Source organism: Homo sapiens, chromosome 10 (assembly GCF_000001405.40).
Source record: "Homo sapiens chromosome 10, GRCh38.p14 Primary Assembly".
In the NCBI taxonomy this organism is placed as follows: Eukaryota; Metazoa; Chordata; class Mammalia; order Primates; family Hominidae; genus Homo; species Homo sapiens.
Window position 1 is genome coordinate 110,526,775 of NC_000010.11, and position 15,581 is coordinate 110,542,355.

Below are 15,581 nucleotides of genomic sequence, written 5' to 3' on the forward strand. Positions count from 1 at the left end.
CTCACAACAAAACCACAATTATACATATATGTATGTATATATGTGTGTGTATATATATATATTATATATACATATATATACATATATATGTGTATATATATATTATATATACATATATTATATATATATGTGTGTGTGTATATATATATATATATATATATATATGCTCAAATAGAACAAAAAGTTATAAAGTGAAAAGTCAAAGTCCACCTCCAACTTTCTACTCCCATGCAGGGGGAAACCATGGTTAAGAGTTTCTTGTGTATCTTCCAGAAATTGTCTATTACATGTTCAAGCATGCAAATGTTATTCATTTTACATGGCTGAGGTCATACTGTATGAACAATTTGGTCTTTTCTTCACTTTACATGAATATATGAGCACTTTCTATGCCATTAAAAATTATTGGTTGAACTATTTTTATAGGCCAAATAACATTTTATCTTATTGATATGCCATAGTTTATTTAACCTTTTCCCTCTTGCTGGACATTTACTCAGGAGAGGAGCAGGAAGAAGGAATTGAGTCAAGATGAAGTGTTGGAGGAGGAAGGGGGCTAGCCTGTACTGAGGGCCTACTGTGTGCCAACCACTTTTCACATCTTCCCAATTGCTTGGTTTTAGAGTTAGGCACTGTCCCCATTCTTCAGATGAGAAAGCTGAGGTTCAGAGAGGTTAAGGAGGAATTTGCTCATATGTAAGAGAGCCAGGGTTTGAAGCAAGATTTATCAACTCCAAAGCCCATGGCTGTTCTATTTTGCCAAGATGCTTCGGAAAAGTCCCAGGGTTCATGGTTGCACACTGCTTGGCATGGGGATGGGGAGAGCCCTTCCGGCATTCCTTCTCTCATTCACTCTAATAACATTTATATGCCTGGCATCAAGAATTTGGGTGAAAAAGCTGCAGTCCTTGTCCTCTAGAAGTTCACAGTCACATGGGGGTGGACATGAAAACAAGCTCTCACCACCTAGAGGAACATGCAAGGTACAAGGGGGTCCAACCAGAGTTTCCACTCCCAGACTCCAAAGGTCGAGAGGCTTCCTGGGGGAGGAGACCCTAGGCTGAGTCAGTCCTCTGGCACCGGTCAGGAAGTGCCAGGGAGGCCTGAAACGCCTCTGCGTCCTCTCCTCCCCAGATCCAGTCTATGCTCCAGTCACTGGAGCCTGGGTTGGTTCCTCCCTGACCCAGGTTTCGCCTCAGCTTCCTGCCTTTCACAAGATGGTTTTCCAGGCTCCCACGACAGTAGGGTGGGCAGTGGGCCGCCAATTTCTGAGAAAATCTTCAAGAACATGTTTCTGGTTTGTTTTCCAGAAGTTCAGGAAATGTTTATCATACTTTTGGGGAAGAGTGGGCAGCACGGGAGGTTTGGGTCAATGCTTCGGGCTCTGGATGGACAGATCGGGATTGGGGTCCTGCTCCTGCCATTTGCTCTGGGACTGCTGGAAAGTCACCGAGAGTTGTCAGGACCCTGGGTAACAAGCCATAGAAAATGGACCCTGACTATCTTAAACAAAGAAGGGAATCCACTGCAATAGAATTGGCAGAGGTTCAGGAGGGAACAGTCTTGAGAAAGGGGCAGAAACTTAAGCAGCTCTCCAGGCCTGGAGCAGCAGGAGGCAGAAAACCATCATTTGAGCTGGAAGAGTCTAGTCATGACGCTGCTGCCACTGCAGCCAGATATCACAGCAAATGGAGTGCTAACCCCCCAGCATGCAGTGGGTCCAGGAGCCAGGCCTCAGGCAGGTGCATCTGATGGACTGAGCCTTGGTCATGCACTCATACCCATTGCCAGGAAACAGGACGGGGAGGATTTGCCTTTGGGCTTCAGTGGTATGAGGCAGGTGCTCCTCCCTCCAAGTCAATACCCAAGGGGAGTTCTGCCCCCTGGATGAGGGGCTTTAGAACCTGTACAGCCAAAAACTCAATGCCTACGACATGGCCTAATCTCTCAGAGCCTTTATAAAACACAGACAATAATCATATCCATTTCACAGGATTACTACGAGGGTTTTTTTAAAAAGCAAATAAAGTGCTTAGCATGGTGTCAAACACCCCATAAATTCTCAGTAAATGTTAATTTACTACTACTACTATTAATATTGTTATTACTAGTGTTATTCACTTTCTCTCTTTTCAAATAAAATCCAGATAGTTTTCACTGTAAAAGTAATAGATGTCATACATAGAAAAGTTGAAAAATGCAGAAAAGTTGAAAGAAGAAAAGAAATCACCTAACACCCACAGAAAACCACTGTCAGCATTTTGGTATTTCCTGCCAATCTATTTTCTATGTACTGGTGTTGGTTGTTTTGTTCTTTCTTCCTTTTTTCCTTTCAAACAGCTGTGATCATTCTGTATGTGTACAGTTGTGTACCCTACCTTGTGGTATATGGATTTCTTTTTTGGGGGAGAGGGGGAATTTCCCTCTGTCACCTAGGCTGGAGTATAGTGATGCAATCTTGACTCACTGCAACCTCTGCCTCCCAGGCTCAAGCGATCCTCCCACCTCAGCCTCTTGAGTAGCTGGGACTACAGATGCACACCACCATGTCCGGCTAACTTTTTGTAGAGATGGGGTTTCACCATTTTGGCCAGGCTGGTCTTGAACTCCTGAGCTCAAGAGATCCGCCTGCCTCGGCCTCCCAAAGTGCTGGAATTACAGGCGTGAGCCTGTAATTATTCTTAACGGCTGCGAAATATCCTGTGGAATGGATAGTGTTGTTTCCACTGTTTGGCGGGTGTGTGTTGGGCGGCGGGGTTCATATGCATTTATAAATTATGAGCGTTTTTTTCAAAAACGTTTTCTGATTCTGGAATGCTTCTTTGAATACTGATGAATGCTTAACTGACATCAGTTAAGCACTTTGTTCTGAAGGGCCCTTAGGAAGCCATTAGCCATTTCCTAAAATGCTCACAATTCCGATGCAGGTGGGGGGTGGGGCATGGCCCACATGGATGCCTATCACCTCATTGTGTTTTGAGGGGGGCATTCTCACTGCTGCTGTGAACGTGAGAGTCCCATAGTCCCGTGACGCCTTGACACCACTCGTCTGCCCACAGCTTTCTCACGTTCCCAATTTGCTCAACCACTGATTAGGCTGGGGTGGTTTATCCTGCCTGTGAAATTACCTGCCATTAGTGTAGTGGAAAGTGCCCCAGCTCTGCCTCTTGCCAGCTTAGGACTTGAGGCAATTTTCTTACATTTCTCAACCTCTTCTGTAAAGTGAAGAGTCATGTCTATCTTCCAGGATTAAAGAGAGAGGGATACATGAGCCTAGATAGTGAGCTTTTCTTCTTTCTTCCTCGACGGTTCTATAGTCTCGTCCTCTCCCTTACTCCCACCCCCCCAGCCCCGCCCCACCCCCGACCAGCCTCCCTGCCTCTTCAGGTCCCAGGCTGGGTTCCAGGAAGTGGCTCGCGCCTGACGCTGGCTCCCAGCGGCTGGGGTATCAGGTGACCCGGCTCCCCACCGAGGTGACTAAAATCCCAGTGATGCTGATTATTTGGATTTCCTGGGCAGGGCCGGGCACCCGCCGCTGGTGGGGCTTTGGATGCAACAATAATTAGTATTTTGACGATGCGATTCCGATCGCCCCACCAAGTAGGAGGTCCCACCCTGAGTAGGGAGCCCCGTGGGAACTGACCCGGCCACATTCCCAACTGCAGCGATTGTGAAATGGGCGCCCGGGCCCAGCCAGGGCGGGCTCCGAGGGAGGAGCGGGGCGGGGCGCGCAGAGGATGCTCCAGGAGGGCGGAGCGCTCACCCTTGCTCCGGGATCTCCTGGCTCAGGACAACCAACGTGGTCCTGAATCCACCCTGGACCTGCCCAGGATCTCAGGCTGGGCGGCCTGGCTCTGCTCTGGCTACGGATGCGGGAGTGAAGTGACCAGGGCAGAAAGGACATCTGAGGGGGTCACAGGGAAATGAAATCGTCCTTTCCCCTTCCACTCACCCCTCCCGGCCCTTCCAAAGCACCATTAGAAATTGAAAGGTGCAAGGCCAGGAAAGACGCAGGGGCCAGTGCAGAGTCTCCTTTCATGGAGGTCCAAGGAGAAGTGAATTGCTCTACCCCAAGTTTCTATAAGAAATAACCAGGCTGGGCAAGGTGGCTCACACCTGTAATCTCAGCACTTTGGCAGGACCAGGCAGGAGGATTGCTTGATCCCAGGAGTTCGAGACCAGCCTGAGCAACATATGAGACCCTGTCTCTATTAAAACAAACAAACAAACAAAAAAAGAAACAAACTTTAAAAATTAGCCGGGTGTGGCAGTGCAAGCCTGTAGTCCCTGCTACTGGAGAGGCTGGGTTGGGAGGATTGCTTTAGCCTTAGGAGGTCAAGGCTGCAGTGAGCCGTGATTGCACTCCTGCAATCCAGCCTGGGCGACAGAGCAAGACCCTGTCTCAATTTTAAAAAAAGAAAAAGAAGGAAAGAAATAGCCAAACAAAGAGAACAGCTGGAGCTTTAGAAAGCACTGTCCCTAACACTGTGTGATTTCAATGACTCCAAAAGACTCTCTGACCCCCAGGTTCTCCTGTGACTCACCTGAAATTCCTCCACAGGCCGGACGCGGTGGCTCAAGCCTGTAATCCAAGCACTTTGGGGGGCCGAGGCAGGCGGATCACGAGGTCAGGAGATCGAGACCATCCTGGCTAACATGGTGAAACCCCGTCTCTACTAAAAATACAAAAAATTAGCCGGGCATGGTGGCGGGAGCCTGTAGTCCCAGCTACTCAGGAGGCTGAGGCAGGAGAATGGCATGAACCCGGGAGGCGGAGCTTGCAGTGAGCTGAGATCGCGCCACTGCACTCCAGCCTGGGCGACAGAGCGAGACTCTGTTTCAAAAAAAAAAAAAAAAAAAAGAAATTCCTCCACACATCCTTTACTTTAAGGTTTTGATGCCAAGTAAAAACTTGCCTCAGCTTCCACAGGAAAGGATCAATCCTGTGACAGAAAGAGGGGAAGAGAGCATATAAAACCTCAAGGTGGCAGGAGCCCTCCTATGGCCTCTCAAGTACAGCTGTATTCTGTTTTTAAGGCACTTGTACTGCAATCTCCAGTGGCCTTTGAAACAATGCTGTGAGCTGGGGGTACTGTTAGCTGTCTTTCCCATTCAACAGAGCAGGAAATGAAGGCTCAGAGAGGTTAAGTAACTTGCCCAAGGACACACAGTAAGTGCCCACGTACAGTTGAAATCATGGCACTCAGCTGCTTCCCACAGCCCAGCATTAACAGTGTGGTGTTCGTATTTTGGTCAACTAGTTTTTTTAAAGTATGAAACAAGTCTTTGGCTAAAGTTCTTATTTTTTCTTTCTTTTAGAAAATATTTTGTAGAGACTATGTTGCCCAGGCTGTTCTCGAACTCCTGGTCTCAAGCAATCCTCCCAGTTCAGCCTCCCAAAATGCTGGGATTAACAGGCATGAGCAACCATGCCTGGCCCTTTGGCTCAGGTTTTGAGAAGACTTTTAGTAATACGAGAGAGAACACTTACTGTCTCTCATAAGCTTCACAACAGCCCTAAGCAAATAGCACCCTGTTTTACAGGGGTAAAAACCCAAGGCTCAGAGATTTATTACATCCACTCAGTTGTGAGTACCTCCAGGGTAAGGAATGAAGTCGTGTCCATCTTTCTATGTATGATCCATAACTTTATCTATGAATGTTGGTTGAGTATTTGCAGAGAGAGCCCTGCCAGATCATCTAATAAGGCCTGTGTGTTTTACAGATGAAAAAACTGAGGCCTGCAACAGGTAAGGGATATGACTGGATCACATAATTATGGCAGAACCTGGACCTCACATCTCCCAATTCTGTCTGCTGTCCTTTCCGGACAGTCACTCATTTATCCAACTACAGGAACTGAGCTGACATACCTCCATATGCTGGGCTCTAAGAACAAAAACAGTAGGGAGAGGATAGGGACACACTTGCTTTGAGGGAGGGTTCCAAAAACCTCAGTATTCAAAACACATGATATTTTATTTTACTTTATTTTTGAGACATGGTCTCACTTTGTCACCCAGGCTGGAGTGCAGTGTCGCAATCACAACTCGTTGCAGCCTCGACCTTCTGGGCCTAAGTGATCCTCCCGCCTCTATCTCCCAGGGAGCTGGTACTATAGGCACATGCCACCATGCCCAGCTAATTTTTGTATTTTCTGTAGAGATGGAGTTTTGCCATGTTGCCCAGGCTGTTTTCAAACTCCTGAGCTCAAGCAATTCACCCACCTTAGCCTCCCAAAGTGCTGGGATTACAGGGGTGAACCACTGCGCCTGGCCCAAAATAACATAATATTGTAATGCAATATTTTAAAAAATCAAATTAGGAAATGATATCCCACAGGCCTGCAGCCTAGTTTTTTTTTTTAATTTTAAATTTAAATTTTACTTTAACATCTGCATGCACAAGGCAAGTTGCAGCCTGTTTTTATAAATAAAGTTTTATTAAGAGTAAATCTCAGTCCTTGTTTTGAGGAGCCACAGTTTACTCTGGGGAGACAGACTTGAATAGGGTATATGTAATCCTCTGTGATTATCCTCAGGCAGCAAGCAGGGGCTGAGGGGAAGCCTTTGAAGCAGGGAGGGAAATGTGCAGAGTCCCAGCTGTGTGGGCTCATTGCAGCAAAACTCGTTGGTGTAGGAAAAACAGGGGCGGGAGCCAAGGGAGGAAGTGGTGAGTGACCAGGTCTCAGAGATTAAGGGGAGGACATGGGGACGGTGGAGAGATCACCAGGCTGAGAATGTCCCATAAAGGTTTTGGACTTGACACCATAGACATGGCTAACTCCGGCTGACACTGAAACTGGGGAAATCAAACACAAACCGAAGGGTATTTAAAATATATTTAGAAATATATTTCTATATATTATAAAATATATTCAGAAATACATTTAAAACCACAATGATAGAAAGTAATAAAAGAAGCTGAGCATGGTGGCTCACGCTTGTAATCCCAGCACTTTGGGAGGGCAAGATAGGTGGATCACATGAGGTCAGGAGTTCAAGACCAGCCTGGCCAGCATGGTGAAACCCCGTCTCTGCTAAAAATACAAAAAGTAGCCGGGCATGGTGGCGCGCTTCTGTAGTCCCAGCTACTCTGGAAGCTGAGGCATGACAGTCGCTGGAAGCTGAGGCATGACAGTCGCTTGAACCTGGGAGGCGGAGGTTATAGTGAGCTGAGATCGTGCCACTGCACTCCAGCCTGGAGGACACAGCAAGACTCTGTCTCAAAAAGAAAGGAAGAAAGAAAGAAAGAAAGAAAGAAAGAAAGAAAGAAAGAAAGAAAGAAAGAAAGAAAGAAAGAAAGAAAGAAAGAAAGAAAGAAAGAAAGACGGAAGGAAGGAAGGAAGGAAGGAAGGAAGGAAGGAAGGAAGGAGAAATCAAGTTATAAAAGACTACTGAACCTTAAAAAATGATAATAATAATAATAATAGGAAAGAAAAAAAAACTCACAATGAATGTGTTTGGCTGGTTGGTCCCTCCATGTACTGGGGACATTTGCCCACCTGTAGTCCTTTGCCCCCAGCCTTGTGCTCTGGAGGTCTCACCCGTGACTGGACCCTTCCTAAAGGTAAAAGCTGCCCCAAGCTGCTACTGCCTTGGTTGAACTGCTGGAAGCCAGGGAAACCCTCGGCAGGACATAAGCTGCCAAGGAATTCTCTTCATTTCTTGAGAATATTATAGGATGCATATTTAAAGATATCCCATGTAAATCACTTAGAAGAGAGGCTGGCAGAAAATAAATACTCAGAAAACTTTCTGTTATTATGTTCTGTTTATTATTAAAGTACTTTTTATAATTTTCTAGAAAGAGTTATGGTTTGAAAGACCCTTCCTTATGTTTAAAGGACACTGTCCCCTTCCCCATATGTCTGTGGCAATTGTTGATGGTTGTAGAAGTATCTGCTAGATCAGGATGTGGGCTGACAGCTGAGAGGGTGTGATGTTTGGGAGAGATTAAAGTCCTGGGGGGAGGTTTAATCCAGGAGGCCTTCCTGGAGGTGGAGGAGAGTTGAGGGCAGAGTTTTAAAAGGATACTGTTGACAAGATGAATGGAAGCATTATGAATGGCATGACATCTGGAAAATGGAGCAATTTTGCCTACCTGGTGTGAGAATTAATTGATATATCACAAACGTAAAATGATTGGCACATAACAAGGACCCAGTGAAGGTCGATGATGAAGAAGGAGGAGGAGGGGAGGGGGCAGAGAAAAAGAGAAAGGGGCTGAGCAGGAGACCCTTGTTCTAGGTACGGCTGTGCCTCTGGTTAGCTATGTGAGACCTTGGGGACATCATGCCCCTCTTGACACCTCAGATTTCTTTTCTTTTCTTTCTTCCTTTTTTTTGAGATGGAGTTTCGCTCTTGTTGCCCAGGCTGGAGTGCAATGGCATGATCTTGGCTCACTGCAACCTCCGGCTCCTAGGTTCAATCAATTCTCCTGCCTCAGCCTCCTGAGTAGCTGAGATTACAGGCGCCTGCCACCACGCCTGGCTAATCTTTGTATTTTTAGTGGAGACGGGGTTTCACCATTTTGGCCAGACTGGTCTCGAACTCCTGACCTCAGGTGATCTACCCACCTCTGCCTCCCAAAGTGCTGGGATCACAGGCATGAGCCACCGTGCCCAGCTTCTTTTCTTTAAAATGGATGACTTACGCCTAAGGTTTCCACCTCTGAGAGTCTCTGATTATAAATATAAAATAATGACAGTCTCTGGGCGCAGTAGATCATGCCTGTAATCCCAGCACTTTGGGAGGCAGGTGGATCACCTGAGATCAGGAGTTCGCGACCAGCCTGGCCAACATGGTGAAACCCCGTCTCTACTAAAAATACAAAAAATTAGCCGGGCATGGTGGCGGGCGCCTTTAATCCCAGCCACTCCAGAGGCTGAGGCAGGAGAATCACTTGAACCTGGGTGGCAAAGGTTGCAGTGAGCTGAGATCACGCCATTGCACCCCAGCCTAGGCGAAAAGAGTGAAACTCTATCTCAAAGAATATATATAAATAAATAAATAAACATAAGATAAAATGACAGTCATTGTTTATTGCCACTTACTTTATACCAGTCTCTCTTATAAGCCATGTACATGTAACATCTCACTTGATTTTCGCAGTGACCCCATTCATGGATTCTACTAGTATTCTCATTATATTGTTAAGAAAACAGAGGCTCAGAGAAGTAAGGTAACCTGTCCAAATGGTTGATCGAGTAAGCAAGGTTCCCGACTGCAGGAAGGCAGAGAGATGCTGCCTCCTGGGGGCTGTCCCTTTCTACAGAGAAGCATTTTCTTCATGACTGAGATCGGGGGTGGCCCCAGTTCCCTGGAGACACCAGTGTTGCAGGAGGCTACTCTTCTTCCTGATTTCACTGCCCAGTTCTGTGGCAGCTCCAACCCATAACTTGAATGTCCCCCCACCCACACACACACCCCCACCTCAGCACAGTGACTTTCCCCCAAGGCTGTGTCACGCTTAACAGATGACACTCAGGGAAAGGCTCTGTGGTTGAATCACAGTGACCACTTCCTGTTCCATTCAGGGTCCCTTGTTCTCCAGAGCCCTCACTCTGCCATGCCCTATTTAGTAAATGCCACAAAGTTTATGACTCCTGGACTGCTAGGGGGGCTTAGTCACCCCTTCCTATACCCTGATTCTACTAGACTTAGAAGCATCAACTCTCAGTTTCTGCACCATTTCACTACCTTGCAACAGGAGCCTGGTGGGACACCCCGTTTGTCCCGGGGCTGCACAAGTAGGCAAAAGGACGATCTCCATTCCTCTAGACTGGTGATGTAAGGCTGACCGGACAGGTGGGCAGACGTCCAAACCTCAGCCATGAAGTAAGGGAGGTAGTCACTGACCCGGTGGGCTCCTCAGAGGCACCTACTCACTGGATGTTGTTGTCTGCAAGCACATGGGTCAGAACACCAAGTGGAAAGAAATGCCAAGGGGTTTATATGTCTTTGAGGGAAACCCCAATTCTCTTTCATTTGCTCAGAAATGCCTTCCTGGAGGCTGACAGCTGTAGCTAATGTTGAGTCCTAGAGCCGAGGGAGTCATTAGATACTAGGGGGCCATCCGGAAGAGGAGACTTCCTCTGGGTAAATGCACAGAGCAAAATCTGGGACCATCATGGCTGGATTAAGATCTTTAGCAGTACTCAACCTCTAAAGATTATGCTACAAGTATTTCTTGCCCCACACAAATCATCATAGATAACATAAAATAAAACAATCTAAATCCTAAAAATAAGTATGTCCTTATCAAAATATCAATGATGTTACTTATGAAAATGGAAAAAAAAATCTACAATTCATATGGAACCCAGGAGACTCCAAATAGCCAAAGCAAGTTTGAACAAAAAGAACAAAACTGAAGGCATCACACTACCTGACTTCAAAATTTACTACAAAGCTGTAGTATGGTTCTGGCATAAAAAGAGACACATAGATCACTGGAACAGAATAGAGAACTCAGATATAAATCGACACATTTGTAGCCAACTCATTTCGACAAAGGTGCCAGGAGCAAACACTAAGGATCATCCCTTTAATGAATGGTGCTGGGAAAACTGTATGCAGAAAAATGAAACCAGACCCCATCTCTCCCCATACACAAAAATCAAATCAAAGTGGATTAAATACTTAAATCTAAGACATGAAACTATGAAACTATTAGAAGAAAACATTGGGGAAGTGTTCCAAGACATTGGTCTGGGCAAAGATTTTCCATGTAATCTTTTCATGTAACCTCAAAAGCAACAGGAAACCAAAGCAAAAGAAGACAAATGGGATTACATTAAGCTAAAAAGCTTTTGTACAGCAAAGGAAATTATCGACAAAGTGAAGAGACAGCCTACAGAATGGGAGAAAATACCTGCAACTATCCACCTGACAGAACATATAAAAAGCTCAAACAACTCAATAGGAAAAAAACAAATAATCCCATTTTAAAATGGGCGAAATAGGCCAGGCGCGGTGGGTCACGCCTGTAATCTCAGCACTTTGGGAGGCCGAGGTGGGTGGATCACGAGGTCAGGAGATCGAGACCATCCTGGCTAACACAGTGAAACCCTGTCTCTACTGAAAATACAAAAAATTAGCCGGGCGTGGTGGCGGGCACCTGCAGTCCCAGCTACTCTGGAGGCTGAGGCAGTAGAATGGCGTGAACCCTGGAGGCAGAGCTTGCAGTGAGCCGAGATGGCACCACTGCACTCCAGCCTGGGTGAGAGAGCGAGACTCTGTCTTAAAAACAACAACAAAAAAAGGGCAAAATATCTGAATAGACATTTCTCAAAAGAAGGCATACAAATGGCTAACATGTATGTGCTCAACATCATTAATTATGAGAGAAATGCAAATCAAAACAATGAAATATCATCTCACTCCAGTTAAAATGGCTTTTATTTATTTAAAAAAAAAAACAATAACAGATGCTAGCAAGGATATGGAGAAAGGCGAATCCTTATACACTGCTAGTGGGAATGCACATGAGAACAGCCACTATGGAAAATAGTATTGAGGTTCCTCAAAAAACTAAAAATAGAATTACCATATGATCCAGGAATTCCACTGCTAGGTGTGCATCCAAAAGGAAGGAAATCAATATATGGAAGAGATATCTGCCCTCCCATGCTTCCTGCAGCACTATTCACCATAGCCAACATATGGCATCAACCAAAGTGCCCATCAACAAATGAATGGATGAAGAAAATATGGTACATACACCCAATGGAATATTATTCAGCCATAAAAAGAATGAAATCCTGTCATTTGCAGCAACATAGATGGAACTGGAGGACATTATGTTAAGTGAAATAAGCCAGGCACAGAAAAACAAATACTGCATGATCTCACTCAAATGTTGGAGCTACAAAAGTGGATCTCATAAAGAGAGAGTAGATTGGTGGTTACTAGAGGCTGGGAAGGCAAAGGGAACTGGGGATGAAGAGAAATTGATTAATGGGTACAAATATACCATTTGATAGAATACATAAGACCTAGTGTTTGATACATAAGGAGGGCAACTCTAATTTATTATAATCTATTGTACATTTCAAAATAGCTAGAAGAGAATCATTCGAATGCTTCCAGCGTAAGGAAAAGATAAACATTTAAGGTGATGGACATCACAAGTACACTGATTTATCTTTATAAATTACATGAATGTATGAAATTATCACATGTCCCAAAACTATTTACATGTTATACATTAATACGTAAATATCATAGATTAATACACAATAAAAAGTTTAAAAAAGAAAAAATCAATAAAAACAAGCATAAGGAAGTCCAGTAATGTTCTGATTATTTCCATCATGACCACTTCAGTCCTTTTTTGTCAGTGTCTTTTTTTCTCACTTTCTGTCGCCTCCACTTTGCTGGTGCCATTGCCCCGTAGGGTCTACCCGTTGGATAATCCTGCAGTGAATAGAAGTGACTGGACCACATGTGTTGGCTAATATAGGGAAGATCTTTCTAATGATTTATGTTGTGTGACCACTAAGTGGGCTTCCCAGGGAGGAAGTGCCCAGTCACTGTTGTGTTCCCACAGAGGCCAGAATTCCCTACGATGGGGACAAGATGTGTGAGAATCTGGAAAGAAAGTGGCTTACCCTATAAAGTCTTTTCTGGTCTGATGATGCTAGGGTGGGCATTCCAAGTACTTTGGAAGGAACTGCAAAGGCCTGCTCCAGGCTGGGGGGAGTCACAGGCTGTGGGATGGGCCTCTGGGGTCTTTTTGGGGACTTTGAGGAGAAGAGTTACCGTTTTCTCCAGGAAGGCAAGCTTACCCCTGCCTTGGAGGTCTTGGACCAGCCCTGCAGCTACATCTGGAAAACCAGCCACACTGTCACAAGATAGCACCAGGGATGACTGGATTAGGACCAACTGGGGGGCACCAAGGGGATTTTAGCCACCAATCAGAGCACTCTGTGTTCAGTCCCATTTACACGTATGTTCCCCTGTGCTCAACTATGAGCTCCTTGAAAGGCACGACTGCCTTATTGGTTCTTGTATCCCTGGTGCTGGCCCTTGGTTGAATTAATTGAATGAATAAAGTCAGGAAGAATGAAATGGCGTATTTCTTTAAGGCAGTATATAAATGCACATTCTATAAACAATAAATAAAATGCCTTCCAGTTGTTTAGTGACTTTGCACAAGGATACTCAGGATACTGGTTATGTGTTCACTTCTGGAGAGGCGGGCCAGAGGACGAGGGTCTTGGGTGAGAGGGACACTATTCATCACTTAATGCCATTTTTATCATGTATATGTATTAGTTATAGAAACTAAAATAAAAACACTGGGGTTAAAAAGTTCCCAAAGTGCTTCCAGCAACACAGTAGGTGATTTAAGTGGCGTAACAGAGTACTGGATGTTGCAAGTGTGTGGTGCTTCTTAGAAGAGGCTCTTGACCTTTCTCTCAGATTTATAGACTTTCAGTTTACAAACCCTTTGCATAACACTGAAATGTTTACTTTCCAGTATAGAGCTCAGGAAACTCATCAATTAAAATGAAACTTAGGCTGGTGATAAGGGCAGGCAAGAACACTATCCCCCAAGAGAGGAGTCAGAGAAACAACTCTGTTTCATTTTGGGTGCAACAATTGACAGCCACAAAAGGAACCAAGAGCTATTGGCAAAAGATTATATTGTATTCACCTTTTTTTTTTCTTTTCTTTCTTTCTTTCTTTTTTTTTAAGAAAGTGAGACAAATACTGCTTAGTTAAAATCAGCTCTTCCAGGCTGGGCAATGTGCCTATGCCTGTAACCCCAGCACTTTGGGAGGCCAAGGCAGGAGTTCAAGACCAGCCTGGGTGACACAGAGATCCCATCCCTACAGATAATTTAAAAATTAGCCAGGTGTTGTGGTGTACACCTGTGGTCTCGGCTACTTGGCACAGTAGCCGAGACCACAGTAGCTGAGGTGGAGGTCCAGGCTGCAGTGAGCCATGATCGCACCACTGCACTCCAGCCCAAGCGACAGAACAAGACCCTGTCTCAAAAATAAAATAAAATAAAAAAATCAGCTACTCCAGATAAGCCATATATACCTTGAGATAGGGCAGTTAAGTGAAGAGAGTTAACTGTTGGGCCCAGCTAAGTTCTAAATTCCCGGAAGCCTTTCTTAAAGTCTACAAAGTAGACTTCACCAATGCCAAGAAGTTTGCAATCCATGGGGAAGAGAGGAGTTCCACTTCAAGGACCAGTGAGGGGCCACAGAGTTTTCCTGAGGTCCTCTCACAGACTCCACGGCTAAACCCATATTCCCTTTGGCCATCTGTGTTAACACAGGACAGGTTGACTTTGGGGCATCAAAGTCATCAAACTGTCTGGACCTTGATTTCCTCAAAGTCAATTGGAAATTAAAATTCCCACACTTTGTTCTGTATCCTGATTGAGATGCTGTTTACAGGAATCTATACATATGTTAAAATGCATAGAACCATACATCAGAAGAAAAAAAGTCAAACGTTCCTATATGATCATTTAAAAACTTAAAAAAAATTGTATGCTTAAGGATCATGTGAGAATTAAGTAAGAAGCTTCTTACACAGCATCCTTGTTTACCTGTTTATTTATCTCTGTCACCCAATACAAAGCCTAGCCTACAGTAGACATTCACCAAGTAATGTATTTGTTGGATGAATGAATGAATGAATGAATATGGAAAAGAGCAGAGTGCTGACCCCAAACAGGCACTCAATAGTTGTCCATTTCTGTCCCCTTCCCTTTAGTCATTTCAGGTAACAGGACATAGTGCAGATGTTCAGAAAATACTAACAGCTTGCTCATGTCTCTGATCACCCAGGCAACTTTTGACTTAAGGGGAAAGAAAAGGCAACTTCTGGCAGCCTGCTTTGATTAATAATAAATAGGAGCTGTATCAGGCTTTAATATGATCCTTACAACAACACAGAAAATTAGGCCGTGGTACCTCTTCCTGCTTTATAGATTAGGAAAATGAGGCCTGAGGAGTTTAAGCCACCTCCTTAAATCTCTCAATGTTAAGTGCTGGAGCCAGGAATCCAACCCAAAGTACAGTGGAGATATAGATAGATATAGTTCGATTTATCTATCTCTATATATATGCAGATAGATGTATCTATATTGATCTATAGATAGATACAGTATTAGTTCATTCTTGCACTGCTATAAAGAAATCCCTGGGCCGGGTGTGGTGGCTCGTGCCTGTAATCCCAGCACTTTGGGAGGCTGAGGCAGGTGAATCACCTGAGGTCAGGAGTTCAAGACCAGCCTGGCCAAAATGGTGAAACCCTGTCTCTACTAAAAATACAAAAATATTAGCCAGGCGTGATGGTGGGCACCTGTATTCCCAGCTACTCAGGAGGCTGAGGCAGGAGAATCGCTTGAACTCGAGAGGTGTAGGTTGCAGTGAGCCGAGATTGTGCCATTGCACTCTAGCCTGGGCAACAAGAGAGAAACTCCATCTCACACACACACACAAACACACACACAAGAAAGAAATCCCTGAGACTCGGTAATTTATAAAGAAAAGAGGTTTAATTGGCTCTCAGTTCCACAGGCTATACAGGAAGCATGGGTGCATCTGCTTCTGG

General features: G+C 44.8%; 5 annotated features.

Annotated features, from left to right (window-relative positions):
- Positions 997-1,291: a silencer, noted in NCBI's record as "tiled region #14569; HepG2 Repressive non-DNase unmatched - State 8:EnhW". NCBI's record gives its function as "represses a minimal TATA promoter and a strong SV40 promoter by Sharpr-MPRA in HepG2 cells {active_cell/tissue: HepG2}" and the evidence as "EXISTENCE:reporter gene assay evidence [ECO:0000049][PMID:27701403]".
- Positions 2,309-2,438: an enhancer, noted in NCBI's record as "active region_4034". NCBI's record gives its function as "activates an Ori minimal core promoter by ATAC-STARR-seq in GM12878 lymphoblastoid cells {active_cell/tissue: GM12878}" and the evidence as "EXISTENCE:reporter gene assay evidence [ECO:0000049][PMID:35858748]".
- Positions 3,119-3,178: a silencer, noted in NCBI's record as "silent region_2819". NCBI's record gives its function as "represses an Ori minimal core promoter by ATAC-STARR-seq in GM12878 lymphoblastoid cells {active_cell/tissue: GM12878}" and the evidence as "EXISTENCE:reporter gene assay evidence [ECO:0000049][PMID:35858748]".
- Positions 9,157-9,246: an enhancer, noted in NCBI's record as "active region_4035". NCBI's record gives its function as "activates an Ori minimal core promoter by ATAC-STARR-seq in GM12878 lymphoblastoid cells {active_cell/tissue: GM12878}" and the evidence as "EXISTENCE:reporter gene assay evidence [ECO:0000049][PMID:35858748]".
- Positions 9,737-9,946: an enhancer, noted in NCBI's record as "active region_4036". NCBI's record gives its function as "activates an Ori minimal core promoter by ATAC-STARR-seq in GM12878 lymphoblastoid cells {active_cell/tissue: GM12878}" and the evidence as "EXISTENCE:reporter gene assay evidence [ECO:0000049][PMID:35858748]".